We start from the raw sequence: 25,114 nt of genomic DNA on the forward strand, positions 1-25,114 counted from the left end.
GGCCGGGCGGCGCCGGGCCCGGGAGGGAGGGGCGCGCGGGGGGCGGGGGCAGCTCTCCCAACGCGGGGGCTCCGCGAGTGAGCCCCGGGCGCGCTGATTGGAGCTCACGCTACTGAATAATTCATGAGGGAAGCGGAGAGGGGCACCGAGTGGAGCAGGTCGGGAAGTTGAGAGAAAGTTTGGAGAAGGGGGAGGGGCGGCGGGTGAGGAACCCCGGGACCGCCCAGATGTGCGCCGTGGCGGTGCGCGCTGTCCAGGACCGAGCATGTCGGGGCTGGGGCCCAGGGACCCCCGGGACAGGCCCGAACCCGGCTGGCACCAGGGAGCAGAGAAAACACACACCCAGCAGCAACACGGAGGGCCGCCCAGGCGTGCACGTAAATGTTCACCGCGCACACAAAGCCCGCTCTGACCTTGCTGCGGACTCTAGATGCCGCTCTTGGATGCGCCCACCACCCTCTAGTGGGCGCAGGGACTGCGTTTTGGGGGAAAAGGAAGGAAAAGGGAGTAGAAGCTTTGGAGAATTGACGGCCGCCCAGGGGGCCTCAAGGAGCAATCCCAGTTTGGATAGCCTTGCAGCGAACGTTCACACAGTCACCCCATAAACATTCAGTGTTGGGGACCTACTGTGCGCGCAACCAAGCCCTGAAAAATGTCCAGAGGAGGCGCGCACTAAGCTGCGCTAGGGAGTAGAGAAAAATCGAGGAAACAACGGTAAAGAAAAGGTGGGTGTGGCGGGCGCGGTGGCTCACGCCTGTAGTCCCAGCATTTTGGGAGGCAGAGGCAGGCGGATCATTTGAGGTCAGGAGTTCAAGACCAGCCTGGCCAACATGATGAAACCCCGTCTCTACTAAAAATACAAAAATTAGCTGGGCATGGTGGCGCGCGCCTGTAATCCTAGCTACTCGGGAGGCTGAGGCAGGAGAATTGCTTGAACCGGGACCTAGGAGGCGGAGGTTGCAGTGAGCTGGGAGCTGAGATCGCGCCACTGCACTCCAGCCTGGGCTACAGAGTGAGACGAAATCTCAAAAAAAAAAAAAAAAAAAAAAAAGGTGGGTGTGTCCGAGAGGGTGAGGGGTCCGGCTAGATCTCCAAATCGCCCTTCTCACTCTCACTCTCGTGTTTTGGGGGGGCTTCCCCGCCGCCCGCAGCCATGACCCCTGAGGCTGGGGCTGCGGCTGCGGCTGCTGTCTTTCCTGAGCTGTTTCCTGTCTGGCTCCTGGGGGCCCTCGGGATGGCTGGGAGGGGCCCTTCCTCTCACTGCCAACTCCCCTCACCCTCCCATCAGTTAGCGGGGAGGGTCCAGCACAGCCGTGCTCCTCCCACCAACCCCCTTCTACTTCAGGGAACTTAACAGTATGGGTTACTGGATAGATGGATTGGAGGGGGTGCTGCTCCAGGAGTCAGCCCCTCCAAGGGGCAGAAGGAAAGGACTTAGACTCCCACAGTAATTAGCGGGGACAGATTTTTTTTTTTTTTTTGAGACAGAGTCTCCCTCTATTTCCCAGGCTGGAGTGCAGTGGCGTGATCTGGGCTCACTGCAACCTCCGCCTCCCAGGTTCAAGCGATTCTCCTGCCTCAGCCTCCCGAGTAGCTGGGATTACAGGCACAGGGCACCAACCCCGGCTAGTTTTCGTATTTTTAGTAGAGACAGGGTTTCGCCATGTTGGCCAGGCTGGTCTCGAACTCCTGACCTAAAGTGATCCACCCACCTTGGCCTCCCAAAGTGCTGGGATTACAGACGTTAGCCACCGCGCCCAGCCGGAGGACAGAATCTTGAGGAGCCCAGCAAGAGAGACGTTGGAGCCCAGCAAGAGAGACGTTGGAGTCCAGGATGCTTGGGGGGCTGCCAAGCGCCCTTACGTCCCAGAAAGGACAGCCGGGCCTGTGATAACCTCTTGTCCCGGCTTACTTATCTTCCTGCTGCAAGAGGTGTTCCCCACACCCCTGCCCTTCCTTGCTGTTCTGCCTGGGTCCTGCGCCCGGGTTGGGGGGGGTGGGCCGGTCACCGAGGGCAGGAAACAGCCGGCTTCACTGGAGCCAGGCAGACCAGGCTGGAGCTGGGAATTCCCTCCTCCCTCCCCGATGCAGGCCCAGTCTCCCCTTCTCTTATTCAGCTTCTCCCTCGGGGTTCTCTGCAACCCTCTCCCAAACCCCTGCCCTGCCTTTTGCCACTCTCACTCTGTACCCAGATCCTGTAGCCTCTAAAAGTTATGTCTTCTGGCTGGGGACAGTAGCTCAGGTCTGTAATCTCAGCATTTTGGGAGGCCGAGGCGGGTGGATCACTTGAGCCCAAGAGTTCGAGACCAGCCTAGCCAACATGGTGAAACCCCTCTCTACTAAAAATACAAAAATCAGCTGGGCATCATGGCACACACCTGTAGTCCCAGCTACTAGGGAGGCTGAGGCACGAGAATCGCTTGAACCCGGGAGGCAGAAGTTGCAGTGAGCAGAGATTGCACCACTGCACTCCAGCCTGGGCAACAGAGCCACACTCTGTCTCCAAAAAATATATAAAGTAAATAAATAAGTAAATAAATAAATAGGCTGGGCGCAGTGGCTCACACCTGTAATCCCAGCACTTTGGGAGGCCGAGGCAGGCGGATCACCTGAGGTCAGGAGTTCGAGACCAGCCTGGCCAACATAGTGAAACCCCTTCTCTACTGAAAATACAAAACTTAGCCAGGTGTGGTGGTGCAGGCCTGCAGTCCCAGCTACTCGGGAGGCTGAGACAGGAGAATTGCTTGAACCCTGGGAGGCAGAGGTTGCAGTGAGCTGAAATCGTGCCACTGCACTCCAGCCTGGGCAACAGAGTGAAACTCTGTCTCAAAACATAAATTAATTAAACAATAGAAAACACTCATCTTAGTGGGGCACAGTGACTCATACCTGTAATGCCAGCACTTTTGGAGGCTGAGATGAGAGGATCGTTTCAGTCCAGGAGTTTGAGGGCAGCCTGAACAACATAGCGAGACCCTGTCTACAAAAAAAGAAAGAAAGAAAGAGAGAAAACATTCTATTCCATGTCAGGTCATCAGCCCACACCCCACACCAGGCAGTAATCTATTTTCTACCATCTAGTGTATGCCAGTCAAAGAATGAAAAAATGAAATCTTTACTGAGCATCTACTACGTGCCGAGTGATCACATTGCTAGTTTTCAAGATTTGTAAAACATGGTTCCTGGCCTCAAAGAGAATCTGGTAAAAATTAATATAGTTTTATGTCATCTGGTGAATTACAACCTGGTAGAAAAAAAATCCCATGATTTCCCCTTTACGTGGAGATGGCATCTGAGATTTTCACTTCAATTCTCAGGAACCACCCTTGGTCTATCCTGTGTGTGTGAAGTCATGTCCTCCACCCTTAGACCACCCAGAACCACTTCCCAGGCAAGCAAATTCAGTAGCCACTAAATTACAGAACGTGGGTGAACATTCACGTTACTACCTGAATCCATGCCTGTTCTGCAGACCAAACCAAACTCAGCCCTCCCTTCCTCATTATTAGAGCACTTTGCTGTTCCCTACCCAAAATATTAGGCTGTCACCTTTGTTCCCAGCCCAGAGCAATATACTGCTATCACACGGTGCATTGTCGGTACTTGCGCATAGCATCCACCAACAGCTACTGGAGTTTTCTTTTTCTTTTCTTTTGTATTTTATTTTATTTTATTTTTGGAGACGGCGTTTCACTCTTGTTGCCCAGGCTGGAGTGCAAAGGTGCGATCTCGGCTCACCACAACCTCTGCCTCCTGGGTTCAAGTGATTCTCCCGCCTCAGCCTCCCAGGTAGCTGGGATTACAGGCATATGCCACCACACCGGGCTAATTTTGTATTTTTAGTAGACGCGGGGTTTCTCCATGTTGGTCAGGCTGGTCTGGAACTCCTGACCTAAGGTGATCCACCTGCCTTGGCCTCCCAAAGTGCTGGGATTACAGGCGTGAGCCACTGCACGTGGCTCTTTTTTTTAGAGATAGGGTCTTACTGTATTGCCCAGGCTGGAGTGCAGTGGCACGGTCATGGCTCACTGCAGCCTTGACCTCCTGGGCTCGAGCAATCTTTCCTCAGCCTCCTGAGGAGCTGGGACCCCGCGCGGGGACCATGCCCGGCTAATAAGTTTACTTTTTCTTGTACAGATTGTGACAGTTGTTTTGAGTAATCCTGGAGTTACAGCTTTTCCTATTGTAAGAAATAACAAGCAGCAAATCACCCCTTTCTCCGTAAATTGTTGAACTTCTCATTACTCTTTCCACATCTCAGTCTCCCCTCTTCTGGGCCACCTAACTGTGTCGGGTCCAAAGTTCAGGTTTACCCCAAAGTTCATGAAGTTTAAGCTTCAGCACCTCTCACCTGCCTGGCTTCTTCCACGGCCCTGGTTAATAAGTGCCATAATTTAAACAGTTTTGAAGGTGAGTTTCAGCAGGACAACACTTGAAATGACCTGAAATCTTACAGCTCTGTTACAAAAGGAATTTGATAGAGTTTTCAACATTACCAATAGAGTTGTAAAGCTCAAATAAATTTTTATAAACAATGATGAAACCTTAAAAACTTAGCCAGGCTACTCGGGAGGCTGAGGCAGGAGAATCACTTGAACTTGGGAGGCGGAGGTTGCAGTGAGCCGAGATCGCGCCACTGCACTCCAGCCTGGCAACAGAGCGAGACTCCGTCCCACTCCCACCAAAAAAAAATAACTTAGCCAGGCACTGTGGCTCACACCTGTAATTCCAGCACTTTGGGAAGCCAAGGCAGGAGGATTGCTTGAGTCCTGGAGTTTGAGACCGGCCTGGGCAACAAAGTGAGACCCCTGTCTCTACCAGAAAATAAAAAATAAAAAATAGCTGGGCGTGGTGGCATGTGGCTATGGTCTCTCAGACACTGGGGAGGCCGAGGTGGGAGGATCACTGAGCCTGAGAGGTCTAGGCTGCAGGGAGCCGTGATGGCACCACTGCACTCCAACCTGGGCAACAGAGCGAGACCCCATCTCTAAGCAAAAATTAATCAGCCATCCTAGAGGAAAGACAGAGAAAGAATAGAAAATAATATTACAAAATCATCATATGAAGAGATGGTCAAAGAGTACACATCTAAGAAAAAGGTAGTAAATGCAAGTATTCCAGGGCTATATCAGTCTTCTTTACTATAAATGTTGTTATTTTTCTAGCTTGTATAATATTTATGATATTTGTCATATTTTAAACATTTGAGGTCAGCTGTGATTTCTTCTCTCAATCCAAAGATTTTATACCTTTTTTTTTCTTTTTTTAAGAGACAGGGTCTCCCTTTGTCACCCATGCTGGAGTGCAGTGGCACGATCGAGGCTCACTGCAGCCTCGAACTCCCAGGCTCAAGCGATCCTCCTGCCTCAGCCTCCCAAGTAGCTGAGACTACAGGCGTGTGCCACCATGCCTAGCTAATATTTTTAGTGTTTGTACAGACAGGGTCTCACTATGTTGCGCAGGCTGGTCTTGAACTCTTGAGCTCAAGTGATTGTCTAGCCTCAGCCTCCCAAAGTCCTATGATTACAGGTGTGATCCACTGCACCTGGCCTGGCTAATTTATTTTATTTTATTTTTATTTTTTGTAGACATGAGGTCTTGCTATGTTGTCCAGGCTGGTCTCAAACTCCTACCTAATTCTAGCACTGTGTGAGGCCAAAAAAAAAGTTGAAAAAAAGGCTGGGCGCAGTGGCTCACACCTGTAATCTTAGCACTTTGGGAGGCCGAGGCGGGTGGATCACCTGAGGTTGGGAGTTCAAGACCTGCCTGGCCCGTCTCTACTAAAAATAGAAAAATTAGCCAGTTACAGTGGCACACGCCTGTAATCCCAGCTACTCAGGAGGCTGAGGCACGAGAATTGCTTGAATCCAGGAGGCAGAGGTTGCAGTGAGCCAAGATTGTACCACTGCACTCCAGGCTGGGTGACAGAGCGAGACTCTGTCTCAAAGCAAAGCAAAACAAAACAAAAAGCAAAAAAACAAAACAAAACAAAAAAAAACAGACAAGGTATGGTGGCTCATGCCTGTAATCCCAGCACTTTGGGAGGCCGAGGTGGGAGGATCACTTGAGCCCAGGAGTTCCAGGCCAGCCTGGGCAACATAGTGAGACCCCAGCTCTAAAGAAAAAATAGCTGGGTGTGGTGGCTCACACCTATAATCCCAGCACTTTGGGAGGCTGAGGTGGGCGGATCACGAAGTCAGGAGATCGAGACAATCCTGGCTAACATGGTGAAACCCCATCTCTACTAAAAATACAAAAATTAGCCGGGTGTGGTGGTGGGCACCTGTAGTCCCAGCTACTTGGGAGGCTGAGGCAGGAGAATGGCGGGAACCCGGGAGGCGGAGCTTGCAGTGAACCCAGATCACGCCACTGCACTCCAGCCTCAGGTACAGAGCGAGACTCTGTCTCAAAAAAAAAAAAAAAAAAAAAAAAAAAAAGAAAGAAGGAAAAATTGAAAATGGAGGACACCAAGTCATTTTCTACCTTCCAGGATTAGACAAGTCAGGGGTAGAAACAGCCACGGGGCCTCACCAGCATCCAGGTGGCTAAGCGCACAGCCTAACTTGTGGTGCACAGAGGACCCTACAGGATCACGCAGGAAGCACAGCCGATGCAGGTTTCAGGTGAGCTTTCTGCAGAAGGTGATGATGTCTGAATGAGTCCTAGAGATTGGCAGGAAAGGAGTTTAAAGGCAGAGTTGTGAGGTCGCCCCATTCAGAGAGCTGCCAGAGTTCACAACGCCAGGTCAGAGAGGGCAAGGACAGTGACCATGGGTGAACTGGAGAGGTGAGTGAGGGCCAGCCTCAGGTCATTACGGGTTTTTGCAGGACTGCTCTGGGGAGCTAGTGAAGGGTTTTAGGCCAAGAAGCAACATTGCATGGTTTGTAGAGAAAGATCCCACTTATACAATTTTGGAGAATAGACTGAAAGGAATGAAGACTGAAGGCGGGGAAACCAGTGCAGCATCCAAGTGACTATGTGGGTTTGAACCCAGATAGGCGTGTATGTGTGAGTGTGTGTGTGTTGGGGGGGATGGTGCACGCATGTATGGAGCCGGGGAGGATTCAGGAGATAAGGGTTGGGTGCGGTGGCTCACACCTAGAATCCCAGCATTTGGGAGGACGCAGCTGGCAGATCACTTGAGACCAGGAGTACAAGACCAGCCTGGGCAACATGATGAATCCTCATCTCTACAAAAATTAGCCAGGCGTGGTGGAGCACGCCTGTGGTCCCAGCTGTTCGGGGGGCTGAGGTGAGAGGATCACCCGAGCCCAGGAGGCAGAGGTTGTAGTGAGATTGCACCACTGCATTCCAGTCTGGGCAACAGAGCAAGACCCTGTCTCAAAAATAAAAATAATGGGCTGGGCACAGTGGCTCACGCCTGTAATCCCAACTATACAGGAGGCTGAGACAGGAGGATTGCTTGACCCCAGGAGGTGGAGGCTGCAGTGAGCCGCCGTGATCACACCACTGCACTGCAGCCTGGGCAACAGAGTGAGACCCCGTTTCAACAAAAAAAATTAAAATAAACAAACAAAAGAGTGTGATTGGCCGGGTGCAGTGGCTCACGCCTGTAATCCCAGCACTTTGGGAGGCCAAGGCAAGTGGATCACCTGAGGTCAGGAGTTTGAGACCGGCCTGGCCAACATGGTGAAACCCAGTCTCTACTAAAAACACAAAAATTAGCTGGGCATGGTGGTGCGTGCCTGTTATCCAGCTACTTGGGAGGCTGAGGCAGGAGAATCGCTTGAACCTGGGAGGTAGAGGTTGCAGTGAGCTGAGATGGTTCCACTGCACTCCAGCCGGGGCAACAAAGCGAGGCTCTGTCTTTAAAAAAAAAAAAAATGCCGGGCGCGGTCGCTCATGCCTGTAATCCCAGCACTTTGGGAAGCCGAGGTGGGCAGATCCCGAGGTCAAGAGATCGAGACCATCCTGGCCAACATGGTGAAACCCCGTCTCTACTAAAAATACAAAAATTAGCTGGGTGTGGTGGTACGCGCCTGTAGTCCCAGCTACTTGGGAGGCTGAGGCAGGAGAATCGCTTGAACCCGGGAGGCAGAGGTTGCAGTGAGCTGAGATTGCACCACTGCACTCCAGCCTGGGTGACAGAGCAAGACTCCGTCTCAAAAAAAAAAACAACAAAAAAACAAAAACACACATACACAAAAGAGTGTGATTGACCCTTTAACATTTCATGCAGACTTTCCCATCCTGCTCCCCTCCCTAGTGCTGGGGATAGAGGAAGGGCTCTTGAGTGCTGTTGGAATAGCAAGAGGCTGAGAGAAATAGCTAGAAATGGCAGTGAGCATCAGTGAGCTGATAAGAATGAGAGAAGGGCAGAGCTTGTAGCAGAGGCCAGGGATGCCAAAGGGCATGGAGGTGGAGGAGAGAGAGGCTAAGGGGCTGGGGCCAGAGCTAAGAACGACTGTTCAGGGAGTGGAGTGGAAAGGTACAGGGTAGTGGGAGGGTTGGGGAGAGGTAGTGGGAGGCTCATTGTCCCAGCAGGGGGAAGTCTTTTGTTTCCTCTCTTCCCCTGACAGCCTGGCAGGATATGAGGCCAAGCCCCCCCATGCCAGCAGCATCCCAGCACCCACTGGACTGCACTGTGGCCCTTCCCTGACTATTGTGTCCTGGCTGGGAATGGGAGCAGGGGCAGGCAGGAGGCTGGCTCTAGGAGGGAAAGTAAGAAGGACTATTTGTGGCTGGAGGCCAGGATACCGGGGTCTGGAAGGGACAAGAAGCTCTTGGGCTGGTTAGGGAAGCTTGGCACAGAAAGATGTGTGTGGGGAGGAGCAGGAAGCCAGGCCGGGTGGGGCCGGCACCGAGGGTAGCAGGTCGGGCCAGGGGAAGGTAGGCCGGGCCCCAGAGGAGATGACGCAGGGCCTCAGCCCTCTCCCAGGCCCCACTCTTCCAGCCTGGGGACCAGAGAGCTCACCTGAACCTCAGAAAACCCACCCCCCGCTCCATTCCCTAAGGCTGACATCACCCCATGCGCCACAGCCCAGCAACCTGTCTGGCCAGAGCCTTCCACATCCAGCTGCTGCCCAGATACCCTCCCTCCCCAGGATCCAGGGGTCTAGCCTCGCACTGCTGCCCTCCAGGAACCCTGGAATTTCATCCCTCCCCTCGGCTCACTCCTGGGCCGTTTTGCCCCATCAGCTGTTCTTGCAGGAAGGGCGCCCTGCTCAGCTCGCCTCTCTTCCCGAGAGTCTTTTGTTTGCTGGGTCTGCAGGAAATTGGAGGGGCGGTGCCCAAGGGCTCATCTGCCCCTGGGACCTGGGGGAGGGGGGCGCAGATTCACCAGACTTAATCCTGGGGAGTTTACAGCAGGAATGGGGTGGGGGAGGGTGGGGGTGAGGTGGGCGGATCTCCAGGAAATTAGCATTTAAGGCCTAATTCTGAGAGTGCCATTAGATCTCCTTGTCCCGAAGGGGCAGACGGGGCATGTGTGTGTTCCAGGATCTGGGATCCCTAGAATTGAGGGCTGGGGGAACACTCTGAGGTCACCTAATAGGTTGACAGGGGCGTTGACACCAAGGTAGAAAATCTCAGATACTGAATCCCACGATCTCCTCTATATCTATACACCATTTTTAAAAATAGAGATGGGGGCTCGCTATGTTGCCCAGGCTGGTCTCGAACACCTGGGCTCAAGAGATACTCTGGCCTTGGCCCCGCAAAGCGCTGGGATTACAGGCATGAGTCACTGGGCCCAGTCCCACAATCCCGTCTTTTACACGCCTGCGATCCTGCGGATGCCAAGAGGTGGGGAGGCAGGTCAGACCAAACCGTCTTTGAGAATTATTATTTTTTCCATTAAAAAATGGTGGAGAGGACGACCCGCCCGTAGCCACACAATTCGCGCCTTCCCAGGACGCAACCGCAGAAAAAGCGGCGGTGTGGACGCTCTGGCGGGCGGCGTCCTCTCGTTGGTTGCCCTCTCTCTGAAGCCATCATAGTCGCCGCCATCTTTCCTTCCCGGCCGTCAGTCACGTGGGCAGCACGCCCCAGGCCTCCGACTGCTGGCGTGCAGTGGGGCGGATTCCGGAGGATTCCTGCAGCCACAGTGAATGTTTGGTTATTCCAGGCGCAGGGCAGCAGCGAAGAAAACTGAAGCTCCTGTTTCGTGGAGCTTAACTTCCTTTCTTTTTTTGAGACAGGATCTCTCTCTGTTGCCTAGGCTGAGTGCATGGGCAAGGTCATACCTCATTGCAGCCTCGAACTCTTGACCTCAAGTGATCCTCCACACTTGGCCTCCCAAAGTGTTGGGATTATAAACCTGAGCCAATTTTATTTCATCTATTTATTTTTAAAACATTTATTTCAATTTTTTTTTTTTTTTTTTTTTTTTTTTGAGACAGAGTCTTGCTCTGTTGCCCAGGCTGGAGTGCAGTGGCGTGATCTTCGCTCACTGCAAGCTCAGCCTCCTGGGTTCACGCCATTCTCCTGCCTCAGCCTCCCAAGTAGCTGGGACTGCAGGCGCCCTCTACCATGCCTGGCTAATTTTTTTGTATTTTTAGTAGAGACAGGGTTTCACCATGTTAGCCAGGATGGTCTTGATCTCCTGACCTCGTGATCTGCCCGCCTCAGCCTCCCAAAGTGCTGGGATTACAGGCGTGAGCCACCGCACCCGGCTATTTCAAGTTGTAAAATTTTTTTGTGGAGACAGTCTTGCTATGTTGCCCAGGCTGGTCTCACACTCCTGGGCTCAAGTGATCCTCCTGCCTCCACCTTCCAAAGCATTGGGAGTATAGCACCCAGCCATGTGGTTCAATTTTAAATGGGATTCGCAGGGAAGATTTCACTAGGAAGATAATATTTGAGTCCAGAAGACCTAAAAGAGGTTCTGGAGTTGTCTGAGGAACAGCCCAGAGGCCCTAGTGGGGCACGCGCAGGAGGTGAGAAGAGAGATGTGGTGATGGAGAGGCCACATTACAGGCATGGGCCACCATGCCTAGCATTCTGAGACACTTCTGAGCAGAGGAGATACTATTATTTATTTATTTATTTTGAGACAGAGTCTCACTCTGTCACCAAGGCTGGTGTACAGTGACGCGATCTTGGCTCACTGCGACCTGGCCTCTGGGGCTCAAGCGATCTGCCCACTTCACCCTCCCCAGTACCTAGGATTACAGGTGTGTAGCACCACGCCGGCTAATTTTTTTGCATTTTTAGTAAAGGAGGAGACTACCTTTCATATTGTCTTATGCCTAATTTCTGCCTCTAAAGAAAGAAAAAGTAAAAACTAAAAGGCAGAAATAAAATCTACAAGCAGACAGCCCGGTGCCATAACTTAGGCCTAGTAGTTGAAGATCGACCTCTGACCTAATCAGCCATGTTATCTGTAAATTACAGACATTGTATAGAAAGGCACTGTGAAAATGCTTATCCTGTTTTGTTCCGATCTAATTACCGGTGCATGCAGCCCCCAGTCACATACCCCTGCTTGCTCAATCAATCACGACCCTCTCACATGCACCCCCTTAGAGTTGTGAGCCCTTAAAAAAAGACAGGAATTGCCGGGCGCGGTGGCTCACACCTGTAATCCCAGCGCTTTGGGAGGCCGAGGCGGGTGGATCACGAGGTCAGGAGATCGAGACCATCCTGGCTAACACGGTGAAACCCTGTCTCTACTAAAAAATACAAAAAAATTAGCTGGGCATGGTGGCGGGCGCCTGTAGTCCCAGCTACTCAGGAGGCTGAGGCAGGAGAATGGCGTGAACCCAGGAGGCAGAGCTGCAGTGAGCCGAGATCACGCCACTGCACTCCAGCCTGGGCGACAGAGTGAGACTCCGTCTCAAAAAAAAAAAAGACAGGAATTGCTCACTCAGGGAGCTCGGCTCTTGAGACAGGAGTCTTGCTGATGCCCCTGGCCGAATAAACCCCTTCCTTCTTTAACTCAGTGTCTGAGGAGTTTTCTGCGCCTCGTCCTGCTACATTTCTTGGTTCCCTGATGGGGAAGCGAGGTGAATGGCGGATGGTCGAGGCAGCTCCTTAGGCGGCTTAAGCCTGCCGTGTGGAACATCCCTGCGGGCGACTCTAACTAGCCCGGGCGACGCGGATCCTGAGAGTGCTCCCTGGTAGGCATTTGCCCCAGGAGGACGCTTCGCCAGAGCAGTGTGTGGCAGGCCCCTGTGGAGGATCAACACAGTGGCTGAACACCAGGAAGGAACGGGCACTTAGAGTCTGGACATCTAAAACTTGGTAAGACTAGTCTTTGAAACTTGCCCACTCCAGGCCAGGTGTGGTGCCTCAGGCCTGTAATCCCAGCACTTTGGGAGGCCAAGGCGGGCGGATGACGAGGTCAGGAGATCGAGACCATCCTGGCTAACACGGTGAAACCCCTTCTCTACTAAAAATACAAAAAAATTAGCTGGGCGTGGTGGTGGGTGCCTGTAGTCCCCACCAGAGCGAGACTCCGTCTCAAAAAAAAAAAAAAAAGAAACTTGCCCACTGCATTTAAGTGGAAGCGTGGCCTGATCACCCATGGTGTGCCTGTACCGGCACTTTAGTTTTTGTTTTTGACTTGACTTAGATTGCTTAATACTCTGGTTTTGGTTTTGACCTAACTTAGATTTCTAGATACTCTGATTTTAGTTTTGATTTTAGTTTGGTGCAAACTGCGAAAGTGTGTGTGTGCCCTTTTTACCTGTTCTTTGTTTTGTGGTGTGCGTGTGGTGTGAGTGTGGTGTTTTGTGTCGAAGAAGCATAGGTCAGGCACAAATAAGCCCACCCTGCTAGGAACTATGTTGAAAAATTTCAAAAAAGAATTTAAAGGAGACTATAGAGTACTATGACACGAGGAAAACTTAAAACTTTGTGTAAGATAGACTGGCCAGCATTAGAGGTAGGTTGGCCATTAGAAAAAAGCCTGGACAGGTCCCTTGTTTCAAAGGTATGGCACAAAGTAACCTGTAAGCCAGGGAACCCAGACCAGTTCCCGTACATAGACACTTGGTTACAGCTAGTTTTAGACCCCCCGCCCCCAACACACAGCGGTTGAGAACAGCAGCATAAGTGGCTGGCAGAGGCAAAGAAAGACCAGCAGAAAGAGAGAAAGGAAAGAGACAGAGAGGAAGAGACAGAGAGGAAAAGACAGACAGAGAGGGAGTCAAGGAGAGAGAGAAAGACAGAGAGAAAGAAATGCAGAGAGAGAGAAGAGACAGAGGCAAAAAGAAAGTCAAAGAGAGACAAAGTCAAAGAAAGAAAGAAAGAGAGATATACAAGCAGTTAAGAAAAAAAAAAGGTGTACCCTATTCCTTTAAAAGCCAAGGTAAATTTAAAACCTATAATTGATAATTGAAGGTATTCTCCGTAACCCTGTAACACTCCAATACCACTTTGTTGTCAGTGTAAACAAAGCCGTATCCGAAAGCACTGAGGCCTTCCTATCAAAAATCCTTAACCCAGTGACCCGCGGATGGCCCAAATGCATTCAGTCTGTAGCGGCAACTGCTTTGCTAACAACAAAAAAAAAGTAAAAAAAAAAAACTTTTAGAGGAAACCTCATTGTGAGCACACCTCACCAGTTCAGAAGTATCCTAAGGAAAAAAGAATTTTTTTTCCTTAGGGGGTGGAATTTATATAAAAAGAGTATTATATAGTAAATTGTTGTCCTGAAATAAATTAACTGGTTTAAAGAAAGAAATATTTGTAATAAGTCAAAAAGTTGAAGAATATCGAAGAATTGTCTGCGAAAACCATGAAAGAAAAAAAGTTATAAAAAAGAATTTATGCAAAAATGTAGTATAATTTAAAAGTAACTAGGCCTCCTGAATGTAAAACTATTTAAAAAAAAAAACAAACCAGTTTATGTGCAAGGTGTATAAGAAAAGTAAAATATACCTTTGGTAAGGAGGCATAAGAATGTACATTTTTACCTATGTTAAAAAGTTAAAACAAATTATTGTTTTAAAAGTTTAAGCAAGTTTTAAAATGTTAATTGTAAAGAAAATTCTGTATGTAAACATATTAGCTAAAGTTAAAGAAGTATCATCCAGTTTTTCTGTGAACTGGACATTAAAGTAAAAGCATAACAGGTTTTTCTTAAAGCACCAACCTGCTCTTTAGCAAAAATTATAAAAAGTTAAAAAGAGTCTATAAAATCTTACCTTATGGTCAAACATTAAAAATTAGATAAATATGTCTATAAAGTTTTATTAAAATTAGGTTTAACATTCATAACACACGAATATAAAGATAAAATTTAGCTTATCTGGTATGAAAATCATACGAGAAGCATTGTTAAATGTAAAAAAAATTTGGCTTTCTTTAGTTTAAAAACTAATAAAAATAGGTGCTAAAGGAAATTTCTCAGTAAAAAGGCACTAAGGACTATAAAGTCCACGGCCAAGGTCCCCACATTTAAAACAAAAAGACATTTTCTTAAAAATCATATACTTGGTTTACCTTCCACTTTCCTTTCTCTCAAAAACTAAAAGTCTTTTAGCACATGTACCACCCCTAGAATTTCCGGTAAACCAGCACCAGCCTGAAGATCATATTCTCATCAAACTGTGGAAGAAAAACTCAAGCCAGCCTGGGAAGGACCCTGCCTTGTGCTGCTAACCACCAAGACTGCTGTTCGTACAGAAAAAAAAAAAAAGAATGGACTCATCACATCCGAGTCAAGAAAGTGCCACCCCCTCCAGAGTTGTAGGCCATAGTCCCAAAGGAAAACCCTATCAAACTAAAGCTAAGAAAAACTTAACTCTTTTCATCTATTCTATTACTCTTTCTTCTTTCCTCATTCTATTGCTGACCATCTAGTTATTAACATAACCAAGTCAATTTCTCCTCAAACTATTGCATTTAATGATTGCTTTGTTATACCCTGTGAGGACTTGCCAAGTCAAAGACAGCTCTCTACTTCAGAAAAGCACTTCTGTCTCTCCTGACTCTCCTCAGACTGGGCATTAGTAAACTAGGACCATTTAATCCAGGGAGATTTCGATAAAGACCCCAGTGCCAACGAAGAGTCTTGCCCCCGACGTAGAGCTTTCATGCCATAGTTGGTCCAATGTTCTGTGGACCATTAAAGAGCAAAGATGGACTGCCCCAACCGGTTTTTATAATTTCCTAAAATCATACATTAATTTTACTAGAGGATCATAGAAGTTAAAGACTTAAAACAAATTTTAGCAATTAAGACAGGATACCAACATGCAAATGCCTAGTTAAAATGGATCAAATATTCCATCTGCACATTAAACAAAAGCAATTGTTATGCTTGTGCACATGGCAGGCCAGAGGCCCAGACTGTCCCCCTTCCACTAAGGTGGTCCTCCAGTCGACCAGGTGTAGGTTGCATGGTAGCTCTTTTCCAGGATTCTACAGCCTGGAGTAATAAGTCATGCCAAGCTCTCTCTGCTGTATCCCTAAGTCTGGCACCCTGCGGGTCAGCCCCTGAGGGCCATCCAGCTTCCGTCTCCCAACACTAAGTTCACTTCGTATCTCTCACTACAGGGAGGAAACTTAGCATTCCTTGGAGACCTGAAGGGATGCGATGAGCTTAAGAATTTTCAAGAGCTTATTAATCAGTCAGCCCTTGTTCATCCCTGAGCGGATGTGTGGTGGTATTTTGGTGGACCTTTACTAGGCACTCTGCCGAATAACTGGAGTGGCACTTGTACTTTAGTCCAATTGGCTATCCCTTTCACCCTGGCATTTCATCAACCAGAGGGAGAAAAAATAAGACATTGTAAAGCGAGAGAAGCCCCTTATGGGTCTTTTGACTCTCATGTCTATTTAGACGCAATTGGAGTCCCATGAGGAATACCAGATCAATTTAAAGCTTGAAATCAAATAGCTGCAGGATTTGAGTCAATATTTTGGTGAGTGACAGTTAATAAAAATGTAGATTAGATAAACTACATCTATTACAACCAACAGCAATGAGCTTTTCATGAGTTAAAAGAAAAACTCATGTCGGCCCCAGCCCTGAGGCTACCTGAACCCTTTACACCCTACGTGTCAGAAAGAGAAAAAAAGGCAGTTAGAGTTTTAACCCAGACTGTAGGGCCCTGGGCAAGGCCAGTGGCCTATCTCTCAAAACAACTAGACAAGGTTTCCAAAGGCTGGCCCCCAGGTTTAAGGGCCCTAGCAGCAATGGCCCTGTTAGCACAAGAAGCAGATAAACTAACCCTTAGGCAAAACCTGAATATAAAGTCCCCCCATGCTGTGGTAACTTGAATGACTACCAAAGGACCTCATTGGTTACAAATGCTAGATTAACCAAGTACCAAAGCTTGCTATGTGAAAATCCCCACATAACCATTGAAGTTTGCAACACCCTAAACCCCACCACCTTGCTGCCAGTATCAGAAAGCCCAGTTGAACATAACTGTATAGGGGTGTTAGACTCAGTTTATCCTAGCAGGCCCAACCTCCGAAACCATCCTTAAACATCAGTAGACTGTGAGCAGTATGTGGACGGAAGCAGCTTCGCCAGCCCCTGCAAAGTGACTCTGAAGAAGATGACAAGCCCTGCTCCAGTCACACCCGGAAGCTGACTGGTCCACGCATGGCCGAAGCATGAGAAAACTCATCGCAGGACTCATTTGCCTTAAAATTTGGAATTTTACAGTAAGGACTTCAACTGACCTTCCTCAGACTGAGGACTGTTCCCAGTATATACATCAAGTCACTGAGGTAGGACAAAAGGTTGCTATGGTCCTATTATTTTACAGTTATTATAAGTGTACTAGAACTCTAAAAAAGCCTTGTTTGTATAATGTTATTCTGTACAAGGTATGTAGCCCAGGAAATGACCAACCTGATGTGCGTTATGACCCACCTGAGCCTCCCATGACCACAGTTTTTAAAATAAGATTAAGAATGAAGACTGGTGGGGGCTCACAAACGATATGAGTAAAGTGTTAACCAAAACAGAAGAAAAAGAGGTGCCCAAACAAGTCACGTTAAAATTTGATGCCTGTGCTATCATTAATAGTAATAAGTTGGGAATAAGGTGTAGTTCTCTTAATTAGAAAAGAGGCTATATGGCAGAAAATAAGTACATCTGTCATAAATTAGGACTGTGTGGAAATAAATGTAAATACTGGTCTTGTGTCATTTAAGCCACTTAAATTAAAAAAAAATAAAAAGGACCCAGTCCACCTTCAGAAAGGAAAAAATGGCCCTTCCTGTACTAAAGGACAATGTAACCCTTTAGAGCTAGTAATAACCAATCCCCTTGATCCTCGCTAGAAAAAAGAGGAGCGTGTGACCTTAGGAATCAACGGGGCTGGACTGGATCCTCGAGTAAATATCTTAGTTCGAGGAGAAGTTTATAAACGCTCTCCTGAGCCAGTATTTCAAAACTTCTATGATAAACTAAAAGTGCCAGTACCAGAAATTCCAGGAAAAACAAGAAATTTGTTTTTGCAATTAGCCGAGCGTGCAGCCCAGTCTCTCAATGTCACTTCCTGTTATATATGTGGAGGAGCTGTAATAGGAGATCAATGGCCATGGGAAGCCCGAGAATTGGTACCTACATACCCAGTTCCTGATGAATTCCTGGCACAAAAAAATCACCCTGATCACTTCTAGGTCCTAAAAGCCTCAATCATTGGACAATACTGTATAGCAAAAGTGGAGAAGGACTTCATCCTTCCTGTAGGAAGACTGCATGGTGGACTTCAAACCACACAGAGAAAAATCCATTCACTAAATTTCCAAAGTTGCGGACCGTTTAGGCCCACCCAGAATCCCACCAGGACTGGACGGCCCCCACTAGGCTATACTAGATATGTGGACATAGAGCCTACGCTAGGCTGCCTGACCAGCAGACAAGTAGTTGTGTTATTGGCGCTATTTTATTTTATTTATTTATTTATTTTTTTGAGACGGAGTCTTGCTCTGTCGCCCAGGCTGGAGTGCAGTGGAGCAATCTCGGCTCACTGCAAACTCTACCTCCCGGGTTCACGCCATTCTCCTGCCTCAGCCTCCCGAGTAGCTGGGACTACAGGAGCCCGCCACCATGCCCGGCTAATTTTTTGTATTTTTAGTAGAGACGGGGTTTCACCATGTAAGCCAGGATGGTCTCGATCTCCTGCCCTTGTGATCCACCCGCCTCGGCCTCCCAAAGTGCTGGGATTATAGGCGTGGGCCACCACGCCCGGCCTATTGGCACTATTAAACCATCTTTCTTCCTACTGCCCATAAAAACAGGCCAACTCCTAGGCTTCCCTGTCTATGCTTCCCGTGAAAAGAGAAGCATAGCCATAGGAAATTCAAAAAATGATAAATGGCCCTCTGAGAGAATCATACAATATTATAGGCCTGCTACTTAGACACAAGACGGCTCGTGAAGATACTGGACCCCCATTTATATAATCAACTGAATCATATGGTTACAAGCTGTCTTAAAAATAATCACTAATAAAACCAGCAGAGCCTTGACTATTCTAGGCCGGCAAGAAACTCAGATGAGAAATGCTCTCTATCAAAATAGATTAGCTCTCGACTACTTGCTAGCAGCTGAAGGAGAGGTCTGTAAGAAATTTAACCTTACTAATTGCTGCCTACACATAGATAATCAAAGGCAAGTAGTTGAAGACATAGAGATATGACAAAACTGGCACATGTGCCTAGGCAAGTGTGGCATGGATTTGATCCTGAGGCCATGTTTAGAAAATGGTTCCCAGTGCTAAGAGAATTTAAAAGTCTTATAATAAGAGTTATAATAGTAATAGGAACCTGCTTACTGCTCCTTTGTTTGCTACCTGTACTTCTTCAAATGATAAAAAGCTTCATTGCAGGCCGGGCGCGGTGGCTCACGCCTGTAATCCCAGCACTTTGGGAGGCCGAGGCGGGTGGATCACGAGGTCAGGAGATGGAGACCATCCTGGCTAACACGGTGAAACCCTGTCTCTACTAAAAATACAAAAAAATGAGCCGGGCGTGGTGGCGGGCGCCTGTAGTCCCAGTTACTCGGGAGGCTGAGGCAGGAGAATGGCATGAACCCAGGAGGCGGAGCTGGCAGTGAGCCGAGATCGCGCCACTGCACTCTAGCCTGGGCGACAAAGTGAGACTCCGTCTCAAAAAAAAAAAAAAGCTTCATCGCTACCTTAGTTCACCAAAATGCTTCAGCACAAGTGTACTATATGAATCACTATCGATCTGTCGTGCAAGAAGACATGGGTAGTGAGAATGAAAGTGAGAACTTCCACTATTGAGTGAGTCTCAAAGGGGAGGAATAAAGGAAGAGACCGCCCCTCATATTGTCTTATGCCCAATTTCTGCCTCCAAAGAAAGAAAAAGTAAAAACTAAAAGGCAGAAATAAAATCCACAAGCAGACAGCCTGGTGCCACACCCTAGGCCTAGTAGTTAAAGATCGACCCCTGACCTAATCGGTTATGTTATCTATAGATTATAGACATTGTATAGAAAAGCACTGTGAAAATCCCTGTCCTGTTTTCTTCCAATCTAATTACCGGTGCATGCAGCCCCCAGTCACGTACCCCCTGCTTGCTCAATCGATCAAGACCCTCTCTTGCGCGCCCCCTGAGAGTTGTGAGCCCTTAAAAAAGACAGGAATTGCTCACTCGAGGAGCTTGGCTCTTGAGACAAGAGTCTTGCCGATGCCCCCGGCCGAATAAACCCCTTCCTTCTTTAACTCAGTGTCTGAGGAGTTTTGTCTGCGGCTCGTCCTGCTACATTAATGGAAATACAATGTTGGCCAGGCTGGTCCTAAACGCCTGACCTCAAGTGATCCACCCGCCTTGGCCTCCCCAAATGGTGGGAGTACAGGCGTGAGCCACCGCGCCCAGCCGGGAGATGCTGTTAATATTGAAGTCAAGGCATCAGGCATACAGCAGGACTGTAGTTGGTGAGTCAGGCCATCATATTTACAGATGTGGCCTTTGGCTTTTGCTTTGAGGAGAAAGGCATGTCATTGGAGAATTATGAAAGGTGGCACCCATCGGGAATGGATGTTTACCTAAACAGCACCCCTCTAGCTGCTCAGCTGAGAATAGATTTTGGGACAAGTGCAGAAGTGGGAAAACCAGTTAGGAGGCTATTGTGAAAGCGGAAGAGGTGATGGTGGCTTGGACTTGGGTGGTAAAATGTGGTTGCAGACTGGTTATAACTTGAAAGTGGAGGCCAAAGGAATTGTCTATGGTGTGGATGTTGGATGTGAGAGTATTCCGGTGTAACCCCAGGTTTCCGGCCTGAGAGGACCACAGGAGGAGCAGGTGGTGGGAGTTTGAGTATTTAGTTTTGGACATACCAAGCTTGAGTTGCCCATTTGATGTCCAAGCAGAGATGGTAGTAGAGCCGGGTGCCATGGCTCACGCCTGTAATCCTAACACTGTGGGAGGCCAAGGTGGGCGGATCACGTGAGGTCAGGAGTTCAAGACCAGCCTGGCCAACATGGCGAAACCCCATCACTACTAAAAATACAAAAATGAGCCAGGCATGGTGGCACGTGCCTGTAATCCCAGCTACTTGAGAGGCGGAGGCAGGAGAATCGCTTGAACCCGGGAGGTGGAAGTTGCAGTGAGCAGAGCTCTCACCACTGCACTGCAGCCTGGGCGACAGAGTGACTCCATCTCAAAAAAAAAAAAAAAAAAAAAAAAATAGAAAAAGATGGTAGTAGATTGTTGGCTATACAGCCTGAAGTTCAGAGTAGAGGTCTGGGCTAGAGGTACACCCTTGGAGGCACTATCATATAGATGGTATTAAAACAGATTGGGCCGGGTGCGGTGGCTCATGTCTGTAATCCCAGCATTTTGGGAGGCTGAGGTGGGAAGATTACTTGAGCCCAACAGTTCAAGACCAGCCTGGGCAACATAGTGAGAACCTGTCTCTACAAAATATAAAAAATTAGCCAGGCATGGGTGCATGTGCCTATAGCTACTCAGGAGGCTGAGGCAGGAGGATTGCTTGAGCCTGGGAGATAGAGGTTGCTGTGAGCTATGATGGTGCCACTGTACTCCAGCCTAGGCGACAGAGTGAGACCAAGTCTCAAAAATAAATAAATAAATAAATAAATAAATAATAAATAAATACAGAAAAAATAGAACTATGAGACTGGATGAGATCGTGAAGGGACTGGGTATAAATGTTGAAAAGAGGTTGGGCGCAGTGGTTCACGCCTGTAATTCCAGCACTTTGGGAGGCCAAGGCGGGCGGATCACGAGGTCAGGAGATCGAGACCATTCTGGCTAACACGGTGAAACCCCGTCTCCACTAAAAATACAAAAAATTAGCCGTGCGTGGTGGCGGGAGCCTGTAGTCCCAGCTACTTGGGAGGCTGAGGCAGGAGAATCGCTTCAACCTGGGAGGCAGAGCTTGCAGTGAGCCGAGATCGTGCCACTGCACTCCAGCCTGGGTGACAGAGCTAGACTCCATCTCAAAAAAAAGGAAAGAAAGAAAGAAAAGAAAGAAAGAAAGAAAGAAAGAAAGAGCTAGGATAGACAACTAATATAAGGAGAGTTTTTTTGTTTGGTTAGTTTTTTGTTTTTTTTTTTTTGAGATGGACTCTTGCTCTGTCGCCTAGGTGGGAGTGCCTGAACCTCCCGAGTAGCTGGAATTACAGGCGTGTACCACCAGGCCCAGCTAATTTTTGTATTTTTAGTAGAGATGGGGTTTCACCATGATGGCCAGGCTGGTCTTGAACTCCTGACCTCAAGTGATCCTCCTGCTTCGGCCTCCCAAAGTGCTGGGATTACAGGTGTGAGCCACCGTGCCCAGCCTTCACTTCCCTTCTTACCTAGCTTAAATGTCTTTTTTAAGTGGGGTCTTGCTCTGTCAACCAGGTTGGAGTGCAGTGGTGCGATCACAGCTCACTGCACCCTCAACCTCCCAGATTCACTCTAAACTGGGCTAGGCAGGCCTGGCAAGGCAGTGGGATGTGGAGGGAGTGGAACACAACATTGAGACCCAGTCAAGAAGAGGACCCAGGGCGGGTGCGGTGGCTCACACCTGTAATCCCAGCACTTTGGGAGGCTGAGGTGGGTGGATCAACTGAGGGCAGCAGTTTGAGACCAGCCTGGAGAACATGGTGAAACCCTGTCTCTGCTAAAAATACAAAAACTAGCCAGGCATGGTGGCAGACACCTGTCATCCCAGCTACTCCAAGGCTGAGGCAGGAGAATCAGTTGAACCTGGGATGCGGAGGGTGCAGTGAGCTGAGATCGCGCCACTGCCCTACAGCCTTGGGCAACAGACGGAGACTCTGTCTAAAAAAAAAAAAAGAGGACCCAGAGAAGACTAAAATTTAGTCAAGGAGAAAGTCTCTGTCAGGCCTGAGCCCAACAGTTCTCTACCTCACTGGATCCCGAGTTCATCCATCCTACCCTCTTTCTACTGTGCCCCTTCTCTCTCTCCCCAACATCTTCCCTTCCCTTTTTTTTTTTTGAGTCAGAGTCTCGCTCTGTCACCCAGGCTGGAGTACAATGGTGTGATCTTGGCTCACTGCAACCTCTGCATCCCAGGTTCAAGTGATTCTCCCACGTCAGCCTCCCGAGTGGCTGGGACTACGGTTGCCTGCCACCACGCCCGGCTAATTTTTGTATTTTTAGTAGAGACAGGGTTTCCCCATTTTGGCCAGGCTGGTCTTGAACTCCTGACCTTAAGTGATCTGCCTGCCTTGGCCTCCCAAAGTGCTGGGATTACAGGCGTGAGCCACAATGCCCAGCCTCCTTCTTTTCCCTCCCTCCCTTCTTTCCTTCCCTCCCTCCCTCCCTTCTTTCCTTCCTTCATTCCTTCCTTCCTTTTCTTTCTTTCTTTTTTTTTTTTTTTATTGAGATAAGGTCTTGCTCTATCACCCAGATGGGTGTGCAGCCATAGGATCATAGCTCACCACAGCCTCCATCCTCCCACCTCAGCCTCCTGAGTAGCTGGGACTACAGGTATGGGCCACCATGCCCAGCTGATTTTAAAAAAAAATTAGAGACAGTGTCTTCTGTGTTGCCCAGGCTGGTCTTGAACTCCTGGCCTCAAATGACCCTTCTGCCTCAGCCTCCCAAAGTACTGGGATTACAGGTGCAAGCTACTACACCTTGCCACAGTCTTTTTTGTTGTTTGAGACAGGGTCTCACTCTGTCACCCAGGCTGGAGTGCACTGGCACTATCATAGCTCACTCAACCTCCTTGGCTCATGGGATCTTCCAGTTTCAGCCTCCTGAGTAGCTGAGACAACAGGCGTGCACCACCATGCCTGGTTAATTTTCTTTTCTTCTTCTTCTTCTTTTTTTTTTTTTTGAGATGGAGTTTTGCTCTTGTTGCCCAGGCTGGAGTGTAATGGCGAGATCTCAGCTCACCACAACCTCCGCCTCCCGTGTTCAAGCTATTCTCCTGCCTCAGCCTCCCAAGTAGCTGGGATTACAGGTGCGTGCCACCACGCCCAACTAATTTTTGTATTTTTAGTAGAGATGGGGTATCACCATGTTGGCCAGGATGGTCACAATCTCCTGACCTCGTGATCCACCCACCTCGGCCTCCCAAAGTGCTGGGATTACAGGCGTGAGCCACCGTGCCTGGCCCAATTTTTAAAAAAAATTTTGTAGAGATGAGGTCCCACTTTATTGCCCAGGCTGGTCTGGAGCTCTTGGGCTCAAGTGATCCTCCTGCCTCAGCCTTCCAAAGTCCTGAGATTACAGGCGTGACCCACTGCACCCAGCTCCTTGCCACCTTCTTGGTGCCAATCAAAATAGTCCTGAATAAAGTCTGACTTACTGTTTTAACAAGAGTCAGATTTTTTTCTTTAATAAGCGCAGTAGAAGAGGTGAACTGAAGAGGAGGGGCTGCAGTCATTGATGAAGACAAGGTCCAAGGCAAAACCACAGACTAACAAGGTAAGGTGGAGGTTGAGATTTATGGAAGCAGAGTTCAGTGACGGACAGGCCAGGGTATGCCAAGGGAGTGCTTATAACTAACTGACCCTGAAAAAGTTTTTTTTTTTTTTTTGAGACAGAGTCTCGTTCTGTTGCCCTGGCTGGAGTGCAGTGGTGCGATCTCAGCTCACTGCAACCTCTGCCTCCCAGGTTCAAGCGATCCTCCTGCCTCAGCCTCCTAAGTAGCTGGGACTGCAGGCGCATGCTTGAGTTCAGGAGTTCCAGAGAGGCCTGGGCAACATGGCGAAACCCGGTCTCTACAAAATATTTAAAAATTAGCCAGGCGTGGTGTGTGCCTGTGTAGTTCCAGGCACTGCGGAGGCTGAGGCAGGAGGATGCTTGAGCCGGAAATGCAGAGGTTGTAGTGACACGAGATCGCGCCACTGCACTCCAGCCTGTGTAATAGTTCCTGGATCAAAAAAAAAAAAAAAAAAAAAAGGAAATGTATCTGAAACTTTCCAAGCTCCAATTTCCTAATCTGAAAAATTGAAATAGCGGTACCTACCTCACAGAGTGGCTAATTTAATGCAGTGCTATTTGCAAGGGATAATTTATCAAACCTTTAGGCGTTGTTCTAAAGTGCCCATTAAATGCTCACTGAACTCACAGCCTTAGGAGGGAGGTTCGAGTTTATGCCCATTTTACATATGAGGACGCGTTGGCAGGTGGTACTGCTGTTCATGGGATCTGTAAAGAGTGAAGAAGGAGTCTCAGCTCTCAGTAGAGTTCATAGGCTCTAGGATTTCTGCTGGAAGTGAGAACACTGCAGGGAGGCAAGAAAGCGGGCATCAGACGGTGCAAAGCGACCCTGGGCCCAGATCGGCGGCCAATGGCTCCCTCCGGTGGCGGAAGCGAAGAGCGCAGCTGGATCGGGCGCGAAGGGAGGATCCCCGCAGCGGGTGAGGGGCGAGGCTGGGACCCGGTGGAGGTTCTAGGGTTTTGAGAGGTTGGAGGACTAGAACTCCAGAAGTCCCTGAACGAAGTGGGCCGGATTTCCCGTGACGCACCTGGCCCAGGTGTTGCAGCCCCGCCCACCTCCCTGCCGCTTTCCGCCATCCTCACACGCCCCCTTTAGTGGGGTGGCTGCTCACCGCACCTCGGAGCTCGGACTGGGGTCCGGCCCCTGCGGCGACGATTGTTTGTACCTAAGTGAAGGAGGCTCCGAGACCCGCGGCCCACGTCCTGCCGGAGACGCTTGTCTGCAGGGCTGCATTGCATCCCCGGGCGCACGTGGAGCTGGAGCAGCGCAGGCTGGGGAAGAGCAGAGAGG

General features: G+C 49.0%; 1 protein-coding gene and 1 long non-coding RNA gene across 7 annotated transcripts in view, besides 9 other annotated features; one reads left to right on the forward strand and one right to left on the reverse strand.

The window, feature by feature from the left end:
- The window catches only part of SLC12A9 (solute carrier family 12 member 9), a 40,144-nt gene that overhangs the window by 656 nt on the left and 14,374 nt on the right, over positions 1-25,114 (forward strand). The window contains exons 2-4 of one of the 6 annotated variants that reach the window (XM_047420627.1): positions 6,491-6,623; positions 23,728-23,805; positions 24,510-25,114. The exons of 2 other annotated variants lie outside the window; for them this stretch is intronic. Coding sequence is in view for 1 of the 4 variants with exons in the window: in XM_047420632.1 (XP_047276588.1) it covers positions 6,611-6,623 (13 nt within the window). In the remaining 3 variants the exon portion in view is untranslated. Of the gene's footprint in view, positions 1-236; positions 726-6,490; positions 6,624-23,727; positions 23,806-24,509 lie in introns of those variants that run through there. 3 more of the 6 variants (XM_047420632.1, XM_047420629.1, XM_047420631.1) reach the window with 3 other exon arrangements.
- Positions 3-798: an enhancer, noted in NCBI's record as "H3K27ac-H3K4me1 hESC enhancer chr7:100425149-100425944 (GRCh37/hg19 assembly coordinates)". NCBI's record gives its function as "activates a minimal SCP1, AML or CMV promoter by ChIP-STARR-seq in primed H9 embryonic stem cells {active_cell/tissue: H9 hESC(primed)}" and the evidence as "EXISTENCE:reporter gene assay evidence [ECO:0000049][PMID:30033119]".
- Positions 1,595-2,390: an enhancer, noted in NCBI's record as "H3K4me1 hESC enhancer chr7:100426741-100427536 (GRCh37/hg19 assembly coordinates)". NCBI's record gives its function as "activates a minimal SCP1, AML or CMV promoter by ChIP-STARR-seq in primed H9 embryonic stem cells {active_cell/tissue: H9 hESC(primed)}" and the evidence as "EXISTENCE:reporter gene assay evidence [ECO:0000049][PMID:30033119]".
- Positions 7,753-8,672: an enhancer, noted in NCBI's record as "NANOG-H3K27ac-H3K4me1 hESC enhancer chr7:100432899-100433818 (GRCh37/hg19 assembly coordinates)". NCBI's record gives its function as "activates a minimal SCP1, AML or CMV promoter by ChIP-STARR-seq in primed H9 embryonic stem cells {active_cell/tissue: H9 hESC(primed)}" and the evidence as "EXISTENCE:reporter gene assay evidence [ECO:0000049][PMID:30033119]".
- Positions 8,673-9,592: an enhancer, noted in NCBI's record as "NANOG-H3K27ac-H3K4me1 hESC enhancer chr7:100433819-100434738 (GRCh37/hg19 assembly coordinates)". NCBI's record gives its function as "activates a minimal SCP1, AML or CMV promoter by ChIP-STARR-seq in primed H9 embryonic stem cells {active_cell/tissue: H9 hESC(primed)}" and the evidence as "EXISTENCE:reporter gene assay evidence [ECO:0000049][PMID:30033119]".
- Positions 9,593-10,512: an enhancer, noted in NCBI's record as "H3K27ac-H3K4me1 hESC enhancer chr7:100434739-100435658 (GRCh37/hg19 assembly coordinates)". NCBI's record gives its function as "activates a minimal SCP1, AML or CMV promoter by ChIP-STARR-seq in naive H9 embryonic stem cells {active_cell/tissue: H9 hESC(naive)}" and the evidence as "EXISTENCE:reporter gene assay evidence [ECO:0000049][PMID:30033119]".
- SLC12A9-AS1 (SLC12A9 antisense RNA 1) lies at positions 9,790-25,090 on the reverse strand. The gene is made up of 2 exons (NR_146550.1): positions 24,990-25,090; positions 9,790-10,055 (listed from the first exon to the last, which is right to left on the reverse strand). It is a non-coding gene; the product is annotated as an SLC12A9 antisense RNA 1 (long non-coding RNA).
- Positions 9,970-10,019: an enhancer, noted in NCBI's record as "active region_26386". NCBI's record gives its function as "activates an Ori minimal core promoter by ATAC-STARR-seq in GM12878 lymphoblastoid cells {active_cell/tissue: GM12878}" and the evidence as "EXISTENCE:reporter gene assay evidence [ECO:0000049][PMID:35858748]".
- Positions 10,030-10,109: an enhancer, noted in NCBI's record as "active region_26387". NCBI's record gives its function as "activates an Ori minimal core promoter by ATAC-STARR-seq in GM12878 lymphoblastoid cells {active_cell/tissue: GM12878}" and the evidence as "EXISTENCE:reporter gene assay evidence [ECO:0000049][PMID:35858748]".
- Positions 24,406-24,605: an enhancer, noted in NCBI's record as "active region_26388". NCBI's record gives its function as "activates an Ori minimal core promoter by ATAC-STARR-seq in GM12878 lymphoblastoid cells {active_cell/tissue: GM12878}" and the evidence as "EXISTENCE:reporter gene assay evidence [ECO:0000049][PMID:35858748]".
- Positions 24,676-24,825: an enhancer, noted in NCBI's record as "active region_26389". NCBI's record gives its function as "activates an Ori minimal core promoter by ATAC-STARR-seq in GM12878 lymphoblastoid cells {active_cell/tissue: GM12878}" and the evidence as "EXISTENCE:reporter gene assay evidence [ECO:0000049][PMID:35858748]".

Source organism: Homo sapiens, chromosome 7 (assembly GCF_000001405.40).
Source record: "Homo sapiens chromosome 7, GRCh38.p14 Primary Assembly".
Lineage (NCBI taxonomy): Eukaryota > Metazoa > Chordata > Mammalia > Primates > Hominidae > Homo > Homo sapiens.